Here is a 20,773-nt window from a genome sequence, read left to right as displayed (position 1 = left end):
TACATGTTCAAGAAGCTTAGCAAACTCCAAGTAGGATAAATTCAAAGATATTCTCATTGAGACACATTATAATTCAACTGTCAAAAGACAGATACAAAGAGGGAATCTTGAAAGCAGCAAGAAAAAAGAGATTAATCTTATATAAGAGAACTTCAATAAGATTAATGGCTGATTTCTCATCAGAAACCATGGGGTTAAGAAGGCAGCAATATGAAATATCTAAAGACCTCGAAGGAAAAAAATAAAACTTTGACCAACAATTCTATATCAAGCAAAATTATTCTTCAAAAATGAAGAAATTAAAATATTCCCAGATAAACAAATATTGAGGAAGTTAATCACTAGTAGACCTGCCCTGCAAAAAAATGCTGAAGGGAATCCTTCAGGCTGAAATGAAAGGACACTAGACAGTGACTCAAATTCATACAAAGAAAAAAGAACACTGGTAAAGTTAACTATATAAGTAAATATAAAATCCAGTATTGTATTTTCAGCATATAATTTTTCTTTTTTTCCTATATGATTTGAAAGATAAATGCATAAAACAGTAATTGTAAACCTATGTTAATGGGCACACAATGTATCTATAAAACATTATTCTCTGATAACAACATAAAGGGGGAGGGATACAGCTATATAGGAGCAGAGTTTTATATATTATTGTGACTAAGTTATTAATTCAAACTAGTGTGTTAACTGTAATACACAGGTAAATTAGTTTCCTAGGGCTATCATAACAAAGTACGATAAACTGGATGGCTAAAAGCAACATAAATTTATAATCTTACAGTTCCAGAGGCTGAACGTCCAAGATCAAGGTGTCAACAGGGTTATGCTTTGGAAGGCTCTGGGGAAGAATCCTTCCTTGCCCCTTGTAGTTTCTGGTGGTTGCCAGAAATCTTTGGTATTCTTTGGATTGTACATGCATCATTTCAATCTCTGCCTCAGTCACCACATAGCTTTCTTCTGTGTGTGTGTGTGTGTGTGTGTGTGTGTGTGTGCGCGCGCGCGTGTGTGTGCGTGTGTGTGTCTGTTTTCTCTTCTTATAAGGACACCAGTCATTGCAGTAGGGCCCACCCCAAGAATATGACTGCATCTTAAAAATTACATCTTCAGAGCCCCTATTTCCAAATGTGGTAATATTCTGAGGTTCCATGTGGTTACAAATTTTGAGAGACACCATTTAACCCATTATACCAAGACAACCCTAGGGAAATAACTTAAAAATATGGAGAAAAGGAAATGAGAAGTAAATCAAAATGGCATGCTACAAAAAGTCAGACACAAAAAGTGGAAGTAATGAAGGAACTGAGAAACAAAGATGGTATACGACATATAGAAAACAAATAGAAAAACTAAAGAATTAAGTCCTTCTGTATCAGCAATTTAAACAGAAATAGATTAAACTCTCTAATCAAAAAGGCCAGAGCTGAGGCATGAGAATTGCTTGAGCCCAGGAGGTGGAGGTTGCAACGAGCCAAGATTGCACCACTGCACTCCAGCCTGGGCAATAGAGCGAGACTCAGTCTCAAAAAAAAAAAAAAAAAAAAAAAAAAGCTGGCAGGATAAATTTTTAAAAACCAAAACAATTCAACCATATGCCGTGTCTAAGAGACTCACTTTAGATCCAAAGACACAACTTGGTTGAAAGTGAAATGATAGAAAAAGATATTCTATGCAAATTGTAACCAAAAGACAGTAGGGGTGAATATACTAAAACCATGCAAAATAGATGTTAAGTTAAACATTTTTACAAGTGACAAAGAAGGACATTACATATTGAGAAAAGGGTGAATGCCTTAAGAATATGTAACAATTATAGAGATATACACACCTAATAACAGAGCCTCAATATATATAAATTTAAAAACTGACAGAATTAAAGGAAGAAATAGTTCTACAAAAATAGTTGGAGACTTCACTACCTCATGTTCAATAATGGATAGAACAACTAGACAGAAGATCAATAAAGAAATAGAGGACTTAGGCCGCTTGCAGTAGCTCACGCCTGCAATCCCAGCACTTTGGGAGGCCAAGGCGGATGGATCACCTGAGTTCAGGAGTTTTGAGACCAGCCTGGCCAACATGGTGAAACCCCATCTCCACTAAAAATACAAAAAAGTTTAGCCAGGCATGGTGGTGCACACCTGTAATCCCAGCTACTCAGGAGGCTGAGGCAGGAGAATCACTTGAACTCGGGAGGCAGAGGTTGCAGCCAGCCAAGATTGCGCCACTGCACCCCAGTCTGGGTGACACAGTGAGATTCCACCTCAAAAAAAAAAAAAAGAAAAAGAAAGAAAGAAATAGAGGACTTGAACAACACTGCAAACCAACTAGAACTAACAGAAACATACAGAATCCCACCCAACAACAGCAGAACACACATTCTTCTCACATTCACATGGATCATTCTCCAGTACAGACAATATGTTAGGCCACAAAACAGGTCTTAATAAATTTTAAAAGATTAAACCATAGAAAGTATCTCCTTTGGTCACAATGGAATGAAACTAGAAATCACTAACAAAAGAAAATAGGGAAAATTCACAAATACATGAAAATTAACAACACACAAACAACAGGTGGATAAAGAAATCACAAGGGAAATTATAAAATACTTTGAAATGAATGAAAACAAAACACAACATGTCAAAACTTATGGAAGAAAGGCAAAGCAACACTCAGAAAGAAATTTATAGCTGTAAATACCAACATTAAATGAAAAGAAAGATCTCAAATCAATAACCCAATTTTCTACCTTAAGGAACTAGAAAAAGAAGGGCAAACTAAAGCAAAGCTAGCAGATGGAAGAAAGCAATAAAGAATCAGAGTGGAGAAAAACAGAATTGAGAATAGAAAAATAGAACCAACAAAACCAAAAGTTGCATCTTTGATAAATCAAGAAAGCACAAACTTCTAGTAGACTGATTAAAAAAAAGAAAGACTCAAATTCCTAAAATCAGAAATGAAAATGGGACCTTACAGAAATAAAAAAAAAAATCCTAAGACAATGATACAATAATATGAATAGCTGTACACCATAAAGTCAGATAACGTAGATGGACAAATTCCTAGAAACATATTAACTACCAGAAGTGACTCAAAAAGAAATAAAAAACCTAAATAGAAGTATATAGCAAGTAAGGAGATTAAATCATTAATGAAAAATCACCCAACAAAGAAAAGCCTAGGACCAGATGGCTTCACTGGTGAATTCTACCAGACATTTAAAGAATTAATACCAATCCTCCTCAAGCTCTTCCAAAAAAATAGAAGAGCAGACCTGAACACTTCCTAACTCATTCTATGAGGCCAGGGTTATCTTGATACCAAAGCCAGACAAATACATAAAAAGAAAACTTCCCATATCCCTTATGACTATAAACATAAAATACCTTAACAAAATGCCAGCAAACCAAATTCAGCAGCAGCCTATCAAAAGGATTAGACACCATGACCAGGTGTGGTTTATCCCAGGAATGCAAGTATGGTTCAACACACAAAAATCAATGTAATGTACCATAGTAATAGAATGGCGGGGGTTGGGGGGAATCATGATCACCTTAACTGATAAAGAAAAAGCATTTGACAAAATTCAATACCCTTTCATGATTAAAAAACACTCAACAAATTCGGAATAGAAGGGAACTCCCACAACATATTAAGAGCCATATATGAAAAAACTCACAACTAACATCATAATAAATGGTGAAAGAATGAAAACTTTTCCTCTAATATAAAGAACAAGACAAGGAGGCCTGCTTTCACCACTTCTATTCAAAATTGTATTGAAAGTTCTGGCCACAGCAAATAGCAACAACAACAAAATAATAAAAAGCCTCAAAATTGGAAAGGAAGAAGTAAAATTACCTCTGTTGGCAGATGACATGATTTTATATATAGAAAATTCTAAAGAGTCCACACAAAAAAATCTACAGCAAACAAATAAATTTAGAAAAGTTACAGATACAAGATCAACACACACAAAAGAGTTGTCCCCATGAACACAAGATGTCTTTCCATTTATTTAGGTCTTCTTTAATTTAATTTGGCAATGTTTTGTAGTTTTCAGTGTACAAGTTCTGTACCTCTTTGTTATTTATTCCTAAGTATTTTAATCTTTTTGATGCTGTTGCAAATGGCATAATTTCCTTTTGTTCATTGCTTTTTTGTTCTTGTTTATACACCATTTTGTATTGCTTGTTGCCAGTGCTCATGGGTTGGATGAATTAATATTGTTGGCCGGGTGTGGTGGCTCATGCCTGTAATCCCAGCACTTTGGGAGGCTGAAGTGGGCGGATCACTCAAGGTCGGGAGTTCAAGACCAGCCTGGCCAACATGGCCAAACCCTATCTCTACTAAAAACACAAAAATTAGCCAGGTATGGTGGCGCACACCTGTAGTCCCAGCTATCTGGGAGGCTGAGGCAGGAGAATTGCTTGAACCCAGGAGGCAGAGGTTGCAGTGAGCTGAGATGGCACCACTGCACTCTGGCCTGGGTGACAGAGTGAGACTCTGTCTCAAAAACAACAACAACAACAACAACAACAAACTGTTAATGGTATTACTCCCCAAAGTGATCTACAGAATCAATGCAATGCCTATCAAAATCTTATTGCCTTTTTTTTGTGGAAATGGAAAACCTGACTTGAAAATTTACACTAAATTGTAAGAGATTCCAAGCAACCAAAATAGTCTTGAAAAAAAAAAAAGTGGGAGGACTCACACTACCTTATTTCAAAACTTGCTACAAAACTACAATAACCAAAACAGTGTGGTACAGTCATAAAGACAGACATACGTGTTAATGGCTTAGAATTGACAGTCCAAAAATAAACCCATACATCTATAGTTCTACAGTCAATTGATTTTTGACAAGGGTGCCATGACCATTCAATGGGGAAAGAATGCCTCTTAAATAAATGGTACTGGGACAATTAGCTATCCACATGCAAAGGAAAGAAATTGGAACCTTATCTTATACCACATACAAAAATTAACTCAAAATGCTTCAAAGACCGCAAGACCTATAAGTATAAACCTCTTAGAAGAAAACACAGGGGGCCGGGCACGGTGGCTCATGCCTATAATCCCAGCACTTTGGGAGGCCAAGGTGGGCGGATCACCTAAGGTCAGGAGTGAGTTCAAGACCAGCCTGACCAACATGGAGAAACCCCATCTCTACTAAAAATACAAAATTAGTCAGCGTGGTGGTGCATACCTGTAATCCCAGCTACTCGGGAGGCTAAGGCAGAAGAATCGCTTGAACCCAGGAGGCAGAGGTTGTGGTGAGCTGAGATCACGTCATTGTACTCCAGCCTGGGCAACAAGAGCGAAACTCTGTCTCAAAAAAAAAAAAAAAAGAGGAAAACACAGGGGTAAATGTTATAACCTTGGATTTGGCGATGGTTTTTTAGACATAAAGCCAAATGCATAAGCAGCGAAAGAAAGGTGGAAAAAATTGGACTTCATCAAAATTTAAAAGTTTTTGTGCATTAAATGATGCTACTGAGAGAGTGAAAAGGCATATGACAGTATAGGAAAAAATACTTGCAAATCATATACTGATAAGCATCTACTATCTATGCACAATATGTAAAGAACCCTTACAACTTGTTTTAAAGAAAGACAACTCAATCTAAACATGAACAAGGACTTCAATACACATTTCTCCAAAGAAGATACACCAAAACACACACACACACACACACACACACACACACACACACACACACACAAGAAAAGATGCTCTACGCCATTCGTCATTAGGTAAACATAAGTTAAAACCACAGTGAGATACCACTCACACCCACTAGAATGAATGAATGAACATTGAGACAGGTCTGGGGTCTGAAGCTGCCAAGTGCTAATCAATTATAGCTTACAGCTTTATGATATTCCCAGTGCAGACGTATCTTTTTTTTTTTTTTTTTTTGAGACGGAGTCTTGCTCTGTTGCCCAAGATGGAGTGCAGTGGCTCGATCTCGGCTCACTGCAAGCTCCACCTCCTGGGTTCATGCCATTCTCCTGCCTCAGCCTCCTGAGTAGCTGGGACTACAGGCGCCCGCCACCACACCCGGCTAATTTTTTGTATTTTTAGTAGAGACGGGGTTTCACCATGTTAGCCAGGATGGACTCGATCTCCTGACCTCGTGATCTGCCTGCCTTGGACTCCCAAACTGCTGGGATTACAGGCACGAGCCACCACGCCCGGCCCAGACATATAATTTTTGCCTGAGAGCTTGACCAGCAATATCTATGAAAACAGAATCGACTGCTGAGCCCAGTGTTCTATGGAAGCCATTAGGTGAAAGAAGAGTTTTCCAAACATTTTCTGTACTTGAGAGGGATCAAATAGCTGCACATGTGTTCTGACCATTTGAACACAGTAACAGAATTTCTCCTTTAAGATTACTGAGTTCAACTTCCTCATCTTATAATCAAGGGAAGTGAGGCACAGAGATCAAGTGATTTGTGCAGGGTCACCAAAAAGAACTGAGCCTAGAGCCCTGGTCTTTTAGGACTCCCAAAGAGAAGAGCATTAATTGCGAGGATGTGATCATTGCTGGGGTGTGAGTCAAGAGTGCCAGTAGCAATGGATCAAAAGTTTGGGTGATCTCTCAGACCATTTGGGGGTGGGGGGTGGGAGGGTGCTCAGAATTCTGGGACAAGTGAGAGAACAGAGATTCCTGCAGGCTAGGGTGCTGTGCTCTAATCATACACAAGCCCACCCTCCTTTCTGATGCCCCTGATAGAAGACTAATTCATAGACACAGCTTCATGAGGAGCTCAGGGAGATCATCCTATTAAATGCAGCAAAGAGTCAGAAAGAAGCAGGGGTGGGGCACAACACAACCCATTGCAAGCAGCAGCGGCTCTCGAAGGAGTCAGCTGTGTTAAATACTGGAGGGATGCGCTGCAAGCAGGGCCGAGCAGAGTGTGATGAATGGATTCATATACGGTCTGAGAAACAATAACACTTCTTTGACAGAGTGCTTAAATCTGAATTCCCAGTTCAGTCAAGAGGAGGCCAAAGGAAGCAAGGGGGCTGCTGCCAGCAGAGCCTGGTTGGGGGGCTTAGCCTTTGTGAAAGTGGTTGAGACAGCCCAGAGACCCGTCCTCTCCTCCAAGAAAGGGGCAGGGGATCCTGAGTGCCCAGTGATTTTATTATTAAAATGAGATCCACTTCCATCTCCCTCTACCCTGCTCTGTACTGGAGGAAATAATCCTTAAAGGTATAAAAATGGTACCCAACAAAGGACCCTAAATTGAGGTAAGGAGGCCATGAACCAAGGCCTAGCTTGGCCACAGAATTCCTTTTGTGGCATACAGTCAGTCACACCATGCCTTTGGGTCTCAGTTTTCCGATTTCTACAGTGAAGGGGCAGAAACAAATGACTGTGTTTCACATCCATGACATTTTATGTAACTCTAGACTGTGTAACCTGGAATAAGTGCTTTGCCCTCTCTGGCCTCAGAGTCCTTGTGGTCAAATGAATGAGACATCTGTGATCTGGTCCAGCTCTAGAATATGTTGGGTTTGGGCAACCGGACCCCCACAAAGAACATAGGGTACAAGGTGACTTCCTACCCAGACATTCTGTAAAGGGAGCCCTCTTTTTTGCTTTTACCACCCAAATTCAAACTCCTCTTCACTTTAAAAGAAGCAATTACAGTTGCTCCCTCTGAAGTACAAATGGTCTATTAACTTCATTATCTGACTTCATTGCACGTGACAGATACTCGATACACATCTGTGAGTGAAGAAAATAATCAGACTCAAATCACTCTGAGGTATGCACAGCCCTCAGGGCTCACCCTCCAAGGAGATTTGTCTTTTCAAACTCAGATCCAAAGACAGGCTTTGGAGGTTGGTGAATGCCCTGCAATCACAGGTAACGCCTTACAGGCATGTATAGATAAGTGCTTATTTCTAGGGAGAAGGTCTATAGCTTTCATCAGATTCTCAAAGAGAAAATGTGTCTCCTTTTGTTGCTCCCACATCCAAGGTTGGGACACAACTAGCACTATGCTCATGAGCCCAGTCAGATCTCAGCTGCAGAGCAGTCAGGGCCCAGGAGATAGCGCATTTGGGGTGAGGTCTCAGGCTCCAAGGATGTTGATAGGTGAAGTATCCAAGGACCACAGAGCTTAACCACTGAGCCAGGGAGAGAAGGATGAAGGTTCCCAATTGTTTAAGGCCTCCTAATTCTCTCCTCTCCACTAGACATGATTTGTTTTGTGTCTTTAACCACGTCTCAACTGAGAGGTTCTCAAAGGCAGGGACTTTGTCTGCATTCCCAGCCTGCACTGACAAGCTTCTCACAGGTAGCTGGGGTGTGGTATGTTCCTGTTGATCTGAACTGAACGTGAGGCTTGAAACTTATTACCTCCTCCTCTGACCTCCTGAGTCTGATCTAGACAAGCTCTTAATACCCAGGAGACCCATCACCAGGCTTCTCTGATAACTAAAAGGCCCAAGGAAACATTTAGGCTGTATCAAGTCCTGGACTTCTCTGGGGTTGAGTAGCTGGGGAGATAGGGTGGTACCAAATAAAAGGATACTAAACGAAGGAGGAGCCATCATAGAAGGTGTAATGAAACTTGAAGGCCTTCTTGGGTGCCTTCCCCTCTTGACAATGCTGACTGAAATGATGGTTGGCAGAAGATGGGTGAGAGGTGGGGCTGAGAGTCTGAGCACCTGCAGTGGGAGGGTAATGTAAACCCGGGGTCTGAGAGTCTCCTTTGCGGGCCAACATTAGATGAGAGGGCATCTTTGCCTTGTAGTTTCGTAAGATCATGGGGTAGGAGATATTCCTCCCTTTCCATGTGGCCCTTTCAGCTTCTCTGCAGAGAAGGAGAGCAATATATTGTCTAGCCTTTTGGTTCTCAAGCACCAGGGATGCTCTCTACAGCCCCTCCTTAGTGCCCAAGACCCCTATCCCATTCCCCTGTCCCCAAAGTACACATCCCCAACCCATGCTCCCTCGTCCATAAAGGTAATTTTTGGGAAGAACTGGGAAGTTCCCAATGCCCGTCTAAGAATAGCCCTTGCCTGATTTCCACCTGAGCCTGAGGGTGAGGACCTATGGAGTAGGAGTGTGTGTGGAAGTTGGGGGGTGGGTCCTGGGGGTTTGAAGACCTTGCTCACCCCAGTCCTGAGGTTGTGGGGAAGAGAGCTTCCTTCCAGAGTGTCACAGTGAGGAGGCAAACAGTGGCTGCCCTCTCCCCATGTTCTGGCCCAGCAACCCCCGGAGACGTATATGACCAAGCTATTAGATGTGAACAGGTGCTTAAGTCCTTTACACCCAGTGGCCTGGGCCCTCAGAGAAATGTTGAGTAAATTGCTAGGGCTTGTGGGATGGCCCCACAGAATGATAAAAACCACTAATCACCCATGTCAAGGGTCTTTTTGGTTTGTTTTGAGAGGTTTTTGTCTGTCTGGTAGAACATCTAGCAAATTAAGTTAAGAAACAAACAGTGCACAAAAGCCCTAAATGTAAGGAGCCATGCAAAGGGGCATCCCTGGCAAGGTGCTGCAGAGGCAGAAAGCATTGCTGGGCAGGGGCAGGAGGCAAGCCACTGGAGCTGTGTGAGCTCAGGCAATTTCTTACTCACATACCTGCTTAGGCTGCCTCAGTTTCCCCATCCACAAAATGGGCATCAATCCTGTCTTCCTTGCATGGTTGCAGTGATATTGTAGGGAGGGTGGTGAGCAGGGAAGGACACGGGTGTGTGTGTGCCTGTGAGGGATGCTGCACCTGTGGCTGTCGTGGGGAGTACCACATAACCCACGCTCCCAGGTGGCATGTCTCACACACTTCTGTGACTGTCCACTCACATATACACAGGGACTCCCAGCTGGGGGCCAGGCTTTCTGAGAACCCTTGACTCCCCCGACCCAAGCACTGAGGTGCTCACATGTGGCGACACAACTCCTGCAGCTTCTCCCGGGCCTCAGGGCAGGGGTCGCTGAACTCCAGGCTGTTGGCAGGGGTTCCCACTCCTCGATGCAGGGGCGGCATGCTGACATCTTCTGTAGTTCTAGATTTGCCTGTAGTTGGAGGGCAAGAAGTTAGAGAGATGCCCAAGACCATGGGAACCCACCTTTTGCATCAGTGTCACCTGGATGTGAGACCTGGAGTCAAAGGAGATCATTTTGGAGCTTTAAAATTTGTCCCGCTGGATTTTAGACTTGCATGGGCCCTGTAACCCCTTTGTTTTGGCCATTTTTTCCCATTTGGAATGGCAGTATTTACTCAATACCTGTACCCCCACTGTATCTAGGAAGTAACTAGCTTGCTTTTGATTTTACAGGCTCACAGGTGGAAGGAACTTGCCTTGTCTCAGATGAGACTTTGGACTGTTGGGTTAATGGTGAAATGAGTTAAGACTTTGGGGGACTGTTGGGAACGCATGATTGCTTTTGAAATGTGAGGACATGGTCAGGCATGGTGGCTCGTGCCTGTAATCCTAGCACTTTGGGAGGCCAAGGCAAGCAGATCACCTGAGGTCAGGAGTTCGAGACAAGCCTGGCCAACATGGTGAAACCCCGTCTCTACAAAAAATACAAAAATTAACTGGGCGTGCTGGTGTGCACCTGTAGTTCCAGCTACTCAGGAGGCTGAGGCAGTAGAATCTCCTGAACCCGGGAGGTGGAGGTTGCAGTGAACTGAAATCACACCACTGCACTCCAGCCTGGGTGACAGAGTGAGACTCCAACTCAAAAAAAAAAAAAAAAAAGATATGTGAGGACATGAGATTTGGAGGAGCCAGGGGCAGAATGATATGGTTTGGCTGTGTCCCTACCCAAATCTTAACTTGAATTGCACCTCCCAGAATTCCCATTTGTTGTGGGAGGGACCCAGGGGGAGGTAATTGAATCATGGGGCCGGTCTTTCCCGTGCTATTCTCGTGATAGTGAATAAGTTTCATGAGATCTGATGGGTTCATCAGGCATTTCTGCTTTTGCTTCTTCCTCATTTTCTCTTGCTGCCATGAAAGGAGTGCCTTTCGCCTCCTGCCATGATTCTGGGGCCTCCTCAGCTATGTCGAACTGAAGTCCAGTTAAACCTCTTTTTCTTCCCAGTCTTGGATGTGTCTTTATCAGCAGTGTGAAAACTAATACAGGAGGGGTTTCAGAAAATGGTTTTTCAAGACATTGTGTTTACCAGGGGACACGGGGCCAAGAAGAGCAGGAGAGCAGCATCCTTTAAATGTCAGAATATTGGGGGTATCATTGATGCTCACCAGGAATTGTTGACTGGTCATTTATCAAACAGAGATGTTACTCATACTGCGAGTCATCTGTGATGGATGTGTCAGGGACTGACTTGTGCAAAGTGATGAGACTGGCCATGTCTCCCCGGGTTCCAGGAAAAGAGAGCATTTCCAGGGCTGGACGGCCCTCACTGAATTGGACCCTTTTGATTCACCTGATTAAAGACACAAAGTCTCTATTTCTTCTCAATCAGCTTGAAAACTTCTCTGATGATGGCTAATCTTGGGTCTTCTCGAGGGAGCCCAAGTGCCATAGGCACAGATCACTGTCATCTGAGTCTCTGCAGACCGGATGACAATGATCTGCATGACCTGGATGACAACGATCTGTGCCTGTGATACTAATTTTCACAGCTGTCCTCCATGATAGGTGTCAGGTGGTATGAGGATGTGGTCATGTGGAGTCGTGGCAGTGATATCCCACCCTAGGTTCCAGGGGCATCTATTTAGTCATTTGTGTCAGGTCCTACCTACAATGAACCTCTGACTCCCACCCAGCTGCAGCCTCGAAGTATGCAGGCTTAACTTCACCTTGGATTTGAGGATGAAACCTGGCTTTGGGTGGGGGCATTTCTCAGGCTCTAACTGAAACCCTGAGGGCCTCAGAATGGAGCCCTCCTTGCTGCTGGTGAAGCCTGGGGGTTTCTGGCCAGTGCTTGGGAACCATCTCTGGTATCTGCCACCCTGAGTGGTTCCTGGTCACTTCCCCCACTTCTCCTGCCAACAGGGACCAGAGACTGAACCCTGAACTCAAGCCTAGGGCCTGAGGTCCAGCGACCTGCTAGCAGGCCACCTGGAGCATCTGCTGGATTGAGCCTCCATGTCTGGCCTGCCCCAGGTGCCTTGGGCTCCCCAAAGGTGACGGTCTCTTGCTCTGACTAGGAACTGCTATTAACAGTTCTCTTCTTGTAACATTGGACACCTTCCAGAAATAGCTGCCGTCCCCTCAGGGAGTAAGCCCAACTCCTGGAACTGATGCTGAAAGTCAGCCTGGCCCCAGAACTGTCAGCAGGTGAGGTGGAATAGCATGTGGACATGGAATGGATGGTGGAGGCCCCGACACCCAAAGTGACTTCAAACCAGAATGGCTATAGCAAAACCAGGCATCATTCATACATATGTCATAGGACAACAGGCATAAACTGGGACATTGCTGGGCTAGAGTTACTTACGAGCTATGAGGCAAGGCTAATCACCCATGCTAGCATGCATGTGTCAGCCTAATTCCTAAACAAGATTAAGACCCTATAATGCAGCATCACTGAATATACTTCCCAGTGTCAATGGATGCAACAAGGCAGCTAAAAGTTGGGTGGCAAAGGAAAGCAGCCACATAGACAAGAGGCCAATAGACATGTAGCAATCCCCCGAGTCCTTGAGAAATACATTCCAGGACCCCTTGTAAATGCCTGAAAGCATGGATAGTACCAAACCTGTATATGCTAAGTTTTTTACATGCACACCTATGATAAAGTTTAATTGGTAAGTTAGACCCTAAGAGATTAACAATAACTCCTACTAAAATAGAACAATTAAAACAATATATTGTAATGAAAGTTAGGTGGAGGAGTGGGGAAAGATGGCCAAATAGAAGGCTCTACTGATTGTTCTCCCCATAGGAACACCAAATTTAACAACTACCTACACAAAAAAAGCGTCTTCAAAATAACCAAAAACCAGGTGAGCACTCATAGTACCTGATTTTAACTTCATATTGCTGAAAGGGGCACTGGAGAGGTAGGAAAGACAGTCTTGAATTGCTGACACAACCCTTCCCCATCCCCAGCAGCAGCTGCAAGGCACAGAGAGTCTATGCATTTGGGAGAGGGAGAGTACAGTGATTGTCAGACTTTACATTGAACTCAGTGCTTTCCTGTCACAGTGGAAAGCAAAATCAGGCTGAACTCAGCTGAAGCCCACTCATGGAGGGAGCATTTAGACCTGCCCTAGCCAAAGGGGAATTACCCATCCCAAGTGGCTGCATCCTGTGTTTTGGCAAGCCTGTCCACTGTGGGCTCTGGAGTTCTAAATAAACTTGAAAGGCAGCCTAGGCCGCAAGGACTGCAACTCCCAGGCAAGCCTTAGTGCTGAGCTGGGCTCAGAGCCAGTGGATTTAGAGGGCATGCAACCTACTGAGACACCAGCTGGGGCAGCTAAGGGAGTGCTTGTGACACCCCCCACCCCAATCTCAAGTGGCACAGCTCATGGCTCCAAAAAAGACCCCTTTCTTCCACTTGAGGAGAGAAGAGGGAAGAGTAAAAAGGACTTTGTTTTGCATCTTGGATACCAGTTTAGCCACAGTAGGATAGGGTACAAGTTAGCGTCATGAGGCCCCCATTCCAGGCCCTACTCCCAGATGACATTTCTAGATACATCCTGGGCCAGAAGGGAACCCACTGCCTTGAAGGGAAGGACCCAGTCCTGGCAGGACCCATCACCCGCTGACTGAAGAGTCCTTGGGCCCTGAATAACCAGCAGTGATACCCAGGTAGTAGGCTGTGGGCCTTGGGTGACACTCTGAGACATGCTGGCTTCAGGAGAGACTCAGCACATTCTCAGATGTGATGGTCACAGTGAGGGACTCCTTCTGCTTGAGAAAAGCAGAGGGAAAAGTAAAGAGGACTTCGTCTTGCACCTTATGTACTAGCTCAGCAATGAGGGGGCAGAGCACTAAGGGGCTCTTGGGGTCCCTGATTCCAGGCCTTGGCTCTCAGATGGCATTTCTATACCTGTCCTGGGGCACAGGGGAGCCCACTGCCCTGAAAAGTGAGTCCCAGGCCTAACTGAAGAGTCCTTGGACCTTAAGTGAACAGTGGCAGTAGGCTGGCAGTACTCCCCATGGACCTGGTGGTGGTGGCCAAAGGGTGAGACTCCTCTGCCTGTGGAAGAGGGAGGGAAGAGTGGGAAGGACTGTGTCTCACAGTTTGAGTGCCAGCTCAGCCACAGTACAATAGAACATCAGGTAGATTTTGAAGGTTTTTTACTCTAGTCCTGGCTCCCAGACAACATTTCCGGACCTGCCTGGGGCCTGAGGGAACTGTCTGCCCTAAAGGGAAGAACAGAAACCTGGCTGGCTTCACCACCTGCTGATTGTAGATCCCTAGGGCCTTGAGCAAATATAGGCAGTAGTCAGGTAGTGGTTACAGCAGGTCTTGGGCAAGACCCAGTGCTGTGCTGGCTTTAGGTTTCATCCAGTGCACTCCCAGTGGTGGTGGCCACAGGGGTACTTGTGTAACCCCATCCCCAGCTCCAGGTGGCTCAGCACAGAGAGAGACTCCATTTGTTTGGGAGAAACTAGGGAAGAGAACAAGAGTCTCTACCTGATAATCTAGAGAGTTCTCCTGGATCTTATCCAAGATCACCAAGGCAGTACCTCTCTGAGTCTGCAAGAACCGCAACATTCTGGGCTTGGGGTGCCCCCTAATGCAGACATGACTTAGGTCACAACACCCAAACCCTTTCAAATACCTGGAAAGCCTTCCCAAAAAGGAAAAGTACAAACAACCCCAGACTGTGAAGACTACAATAAATACCCAACTCTTCAATGCCCAGACACTGATGAACATCCACAGGCATTAAGACCATCCAGGAAGACATGATTTCACAAAATGAACTAAATAAGGCACCAGTGACCAATTCTGGAGAAACAGATATGTTACCTTTCAGACAGAGAATTTAAAATAGCTGTTTTGAGGAAACTCAAAGAAATTCAAGATAACACAGAGAAAGAATTCAGAATTCTATCATTTAACGAAGAGATTGAAGACAGTGTGGAGATTCCTCAAGGATCTACAACTAGAATTACCATTTGACCCAGCAATCCCATTACTGGGTATATACCTAAAGGATTATAAATCATGCTACTATAAAGACACATGCACACGTATGTTCATTGCAGCACTATTCACAATAACAAAGACTTGGAACCAATCCAAATGTCCATCAGTGATAGACTGGATTAAGAAAATGTGGCACATATACATCATGGAATACTATGCAGCCATAAAAAAGGATGAGTTCATGTCCTTTGCAGGGACATGGATGAAGCTGGAAACCATCATTCTCAGCAAACTATCACAAGGACAGAAAACCAAACACTGCATGTTCTCACTCATAGGTGGGAATTGAACAATGAGATCACTTGCACACAGAGGGGGGAACATCACACACTAGGGCCTGTTGGCAGCAGGGGGGTTGGGGGCTGGGGGAGGGATAGCATTAGGAGAAATACCTAATGTAAATGATGAGTTGGGGGGTGCAGCAAACCAACATGGCACATGTACACCTATGTATCAAACCTGCACATTGTGCACATGTACCCTAGAACTTAAAGTATAATAAAAAAATAATAAAAATTTAAAAAAGAGACTGAAATAATTTTAAAGAATCAAGCAGAAATTCTGGATTTAAAAATGCAATTGATATACTGAGGAATGAGTCAGAATCTTTTAACAGTAGAATTTATCAAGCAGAAGAAAGAATTAGTGAGCTTGAAGACGGCCTCTTTGGAAATGCAGAGGAGACAAAAGAAAAAAGAATAAAGAATGAAACATGGCTACAAGATCTAGAAAATAACCTCAAAAGGGCAAATTTAAGAGTTACTGGCCTTAAAGATGAGCTAGAGAAAGAGATAGGGGTAGAAAGTTTATTCAAAGAAATAATAACAGAGAACTTCCCAAACCTAGAGAAAGATATCAAAATTCAAGTACAAGAAGGTTACAGAACACTAAGCAGATTTAACCCAAAGAAGACTACTTTAAGGCATTTAATAACCAAACTCCCAAAGGTCAAGGATCCTAAAAAAGGATCCTAAAAGCAGCAAGAGAAAAGAAACAAATAACATACAATGGAGCTCCAATTGTCTGGCAGCAGACTTTTCAGTGGAAATGTTGCAGGCCAGGAGAGAGTGGCATGACATATTTAAAGGGCTGAAGGAAAAAACCTTTTACCCTAGAATAGTATATCTTGTGAAAATATCCTTAAAACATGAAGAAATAAAGACTTTCCTAGACAAACAAAAGCTGAGGAATTTCATCAACACCAGACCTCTCCTACATGAAATGCTAAAGGCAGTACTTCAATCAGAAAGAAAAGGTGTTAGTATAAAACTCACTGGTAATAGTACAGAGAAAACCAGAATATTACAACACTGTTACTGAGGTGTGTAAGCTACTATTATCTCAAGCAGAAAGACTAAAAGACGAACTCATAAAAAATAATAGCTACAGGTCAGCATGGTGGCTCACGCCTATAATTCCAGCACTCTGGGAGGCCGAGGCAGGCAGATCACTTGAGGTCAGGAGTTCGAGATCAGCCTAGCCAACATCTCTACTAAAAATACAAAAATTAGCTGGGTGTGGTGGCATGTGTCTGTAGTCCCAGCTACTTGGGAGGCTGAGGCAGGAGGCTTGCTTGAACTCAGTAGAAAGAGGTTGCAGTCAGCCGAGACGTGCCACCGCACTGCAGCCTGAGTGACAGAGCGTGACTCCGTCTCAAAATAATAATAATAATAATAATAATAATAATAATAATGATAGCACAACAACTTTTCAAGATATCGTACAATAAGATATAAATAGAAACAACAAAAAGTTAAAATGTGGGGGGATGAAGTTAAGGTGTAGAGTTTTATTAGTTTTCTCTTTGCTTGTTTCTTTGTTTATGCAAACAGTGTGAAGTTGTTATCAGCTTAAAATAATGAGTTATAGGATAGTATTTGCAAGCCTCATGGTAACCTCAAATCAAAAAACACACAATGGGTACACAAAAAATAAAAAAAAAAAACAAGAAATTTAATCATATCACCAGAGAAAATCACCTTCAGTAAAAGGAAGACAGGAGGGAAGGAAAGAAGAATGAGAAGACCACAAAACAACCAGAGAAACAACAAAATGGCAGGAGTAAGTCCTTACTTATTAATAATGACATTGAATATAAATGGACTAAACTCTCCAATCAAACGACATAGGGTTGTTGGATGGATAAAAAAACAAGACCCCATGATCAGAAGCACACTCTACTTATAAAGACGCACATAAACTGAAAATAAAGGAACGAAAAAAAGATGTTACATGCCAGTGGAAATCAAAAAAGAGCAGGAGTAGCTATACTTAGACAAAATAGATTTTGAAACAAAAACTATAGAAAGAGACAAGGAAGGTCACTATATAATAAAGAAGTCAATTCAGCAAGAAGATATAACATAAGTAAATATATATATACCCAACACTGGAGCAGCCAGACGTATAAAGCAAATATTATTAGAGCTAAAGAGAGAGAAAGACACCAATAAAATAATAGCTGGAGATAGCAACACCCCACTTTCGGCACTGGACAGATCTTCTAGACAGAAAATCAACAAAGAAACATCAGACTTAATCTATACTATAGACCAAATGGGCCTAATAGATATTTACAGAACATTTCATGCAATGGCTGCAAAATACACATTCTTTTCCTTAGCACGTGGGTCATTTTCAAAGCTAGATCATATGTTAGGTCACAAAACAAGTCTTAAAACATTTAAAAAAAAAAACCTGAAATAACAGCAACCATCTTCGCTGACCACAATGGAATAAAACTAGAGATCAACAAGAGGAATTTTGGAAACTATATAAATTCATGGAAATTAAACAATATGCTCCTGAATGACCAGTGGGTCAGTGAAGAAATTAAGAAGGAAATTTTAAAAATTCTTGAAGCAAAAGACAATGGAAACACAACATACCAAAACCTGTGGGATACAGTGAAAGCAGTACTAACAGGAAAATTTATAGCTGTTAAGTGCCTACATCAAAAAGAAGAAAAACTTCAGCCCAGGCATGGTGGCTTACTCCTGTAATCCCAGCAATTTGAGAGGCCAAGGAAGGTGGATCACTTGAGGTCAGAAGTTCAAGACCAGCCTGGTCAACATGGTGAAACCCTGTCTCTACTAAAAATACAAAAATTACCCAGGCATAGTGGTGCATGTCTGTAATCCCAGCTACTCGGGAGGCTGAGGCAGGAGAATTGCTTGAACTCGGGAGGTGGAGGTTGCAGTGAGCTGAGATCACACCACTGCACTCCAGCCTGGGGCAACAGAGTGAGACTTCATCTCAAAAAAAAAAGAAGAGAAACTTCAAATAAACAACCCAATGATGCAACTTAAAGAACTAGAAAAGCAAGAGCAAACCAAACACAAAATTAGTAGAAGAAATAATAAGGATAAGAGCAGAAATAAATAAACTGAAACAAGGAAAACAATACAAGAGATCAATAAAAACAAAAGCTGTTTTTTTAAAAAGTTAAAAACAAATTTGACCAACCTTTTGCCAGACTAAGATAAAAAGAGAGAAGACCCAATTAAATAAAATCAGAGATGAAACAGGAGACATTACAACTGATATTGCAAAAATTCAAAGGATCATTAGTCCCTATTATGAGCAACTATATGTCAATAAATTGGGAAATCTAGAAGAAATGGATAAATTCCTAGACACATACAACCTATCAAAACTGAGCCATGAAGAAATCCAAAACCTGAACAGACCAATAACAAGTAACGAGATTGAAACTATAATAAAAAGTCTCCCAGAAAAGAAAAGCCTGGGACCCAATAGCTTCACTGTCAAATTCCACCAAACATTTAAAGAACATAGCAATCCTACTCAAACTTTTCTGAAAAATAGAGGAGGAGGGAATACTTATAAACTCATTCTATGATGCCAATATTACTCTGATACCAAAACCAGACAAAGACACATCAAAAAAAGAAAACTACAGGCCAATACCACTGATGAATACTGGTGCAAAAATCCTCAATACTAGCAAATTGAATTCAACAACACATTAAAAAGATCAAGATCATTCATCATGACCAAGTGGGATTTATCTCTGGGATGCAAGGATGGTTCAACATATGCAAATCAATCAATGTGATACATCCTATCAACAGAATGAAGTACAAAAACCCTATGGCCATTTCAACTGATACTGGAAAAGCATTTGATAAAATTCAACATCCCTTCATGATAAAAACCCTCAAAAAACTGGGTATAGAAGGAATATGCTTTAACATAGTAAAAGCCATATATGACAGATTCATACCTAATATCATACTGAATGGGGAAAAACTGAAAGCCTTTCCTCTAAAATCAGGACCACGACAAGGATGCCCACTTTCACCACCATTATTCAATATAGTACTGGGAGTCCTGGCTAGAGCAATCAGAAAAGAGAAAGAAATAAAGGGCATCCAAATTGGAAAGGAAGAAGTCAAACTATCCTTGTTTGCAGATGATATGATCTTATATTTGGAAAAACCTAAAGACTCCACCAAAAAATTATTAGAACTGATAAACTCAGTAAGGTTGCAGGATACAAAAATCAACATATAAAAATCAGTAGCATTTCTATATGCCAACAGTGGACAGTCTGAACAAGAAACTAAGAAAGTAATTCCATTTAAAATAGTCAGGAATTAAAGAAATGAAAGATTTCTACAATGAAAACTATAAAACACTGATGCAAAAAACTGAAGATGACATCAGAAAATGGAAAGCTATTCCATGTTCATGGATTGGAAGAATAAATATTGTTAAAATGTCTGTACTACCCAAAGCAATCTACAGATTTAATGCAATCGCTATCAAAATACCAATGGCAATCTTCACAGAAATAGAAAAATCATTCCTAAAGTTTATATGGAACCACAAAAGACCTAGAATAGCCAAAGCTATCATAAATAAAAATAATAAAACTAGAGGAATCATCTTACCTGAGTTCAAATTATACAACAGAGCTATAGTAACCAAAACAGCATGGTACTGGCATAAAAACAGATATGTAGACCAGTGAAACACAATACAGAGCCCCAAAATAAATCTATACGTCTACAATGAACCCATTTATGACAAAGGTGCCAAGAACATACAATGGGGAAAGAACAATCTTTTCAATAAATGGTGCTGGGAAAACTGGATAACCATATGCAGAAGGACCCCTATCTCTCACCATACACAAAAATAAAATCAAAATGGATTGAAGACTTAAATCTCAGGCCACAAACTATTAACTACTAATAGAAAACATTAGGGGAAACTCTCCAGGACGTTGGAGTGGGCAAAGATTTCTTGAGTAATACCCCACAAGCACAGGCAACCAAAACAAAAATGGACAAATCAGATCACATCAAGTTAAAAAGCTTCTGCACAGCAAAGGAAACAATCAACAAAGTGAAGAGACAACCCACAGAATGGGAGAAAATATTTGCAAACTACCCATTTGACCAGACGAGAATATATAAGGAGTTCAAACAACTCTGCAGGAAAAAAAATCTAATAATCTGATTGAGTGATCTTTCAAGCTCATTCTTCTCAAAAAAAGACATACAAATGGCAAATAGGTATATGAAAAGGTGCCCAACATCACTGATAGTCAGAGAAATGCAAATTAAAACTACAAGGTGATATCATCTCACCCAGTTAAAATGGCTTTTGTCCAAAAGACAGGCAAC

At 41.9% G+C, this 20,773-nt stretch overlaps 1 protein-coding gene across 11 annotated transcripts in view; it reads right to left on the bottom strand.

The window, feature by feature from the left end:
- C3orf20 (chromosome 3 open reading frame 20) overlaps positions 1-20,773 on the bottom strand; it is a 97,896-nt gene that overhangs the window by 59,853 nt on the left and 17,270 nt on the right. For 10 of the 11 annotated variants that reach the window (XM_006713341.3, NM_032137.5, NM_001184958.2 and 7 more), the window contains exons 6-7: positions 9,922-10,054; positions 8,566-8,847 (exon numbers count right to left, since the gene is read on the bottom strand). In XM_006713341.3, coding sequence (XP_006713404.1) covers positions 8,566-8,847; positions 9,922-10,054 — 415 coding nt within the window. The remainder of the gene's footprint in view (positions 1-8,565; positions 8,848-9,921; positions 10,055-20,773) is intronic. The other variant, XM_011534157.3, reaches the window with a different exon arrangement.

Source organism: Homo sapiens, chromosome 3 (genome assembly GCF_000001405.40).
Source record: "Homo sapiens chromosome 3, GRCh38.p14 Primary Assembly".
NCBI lineage: Eukaryota > Metazoa > Chordata > Mammalia > Primates > Hominidae > Homo > Homo sapiens.
Note: the sequence above shows the minus strand (reverse complement) of the source record. Positions and strands in the feature narration are given on the sequence as shown.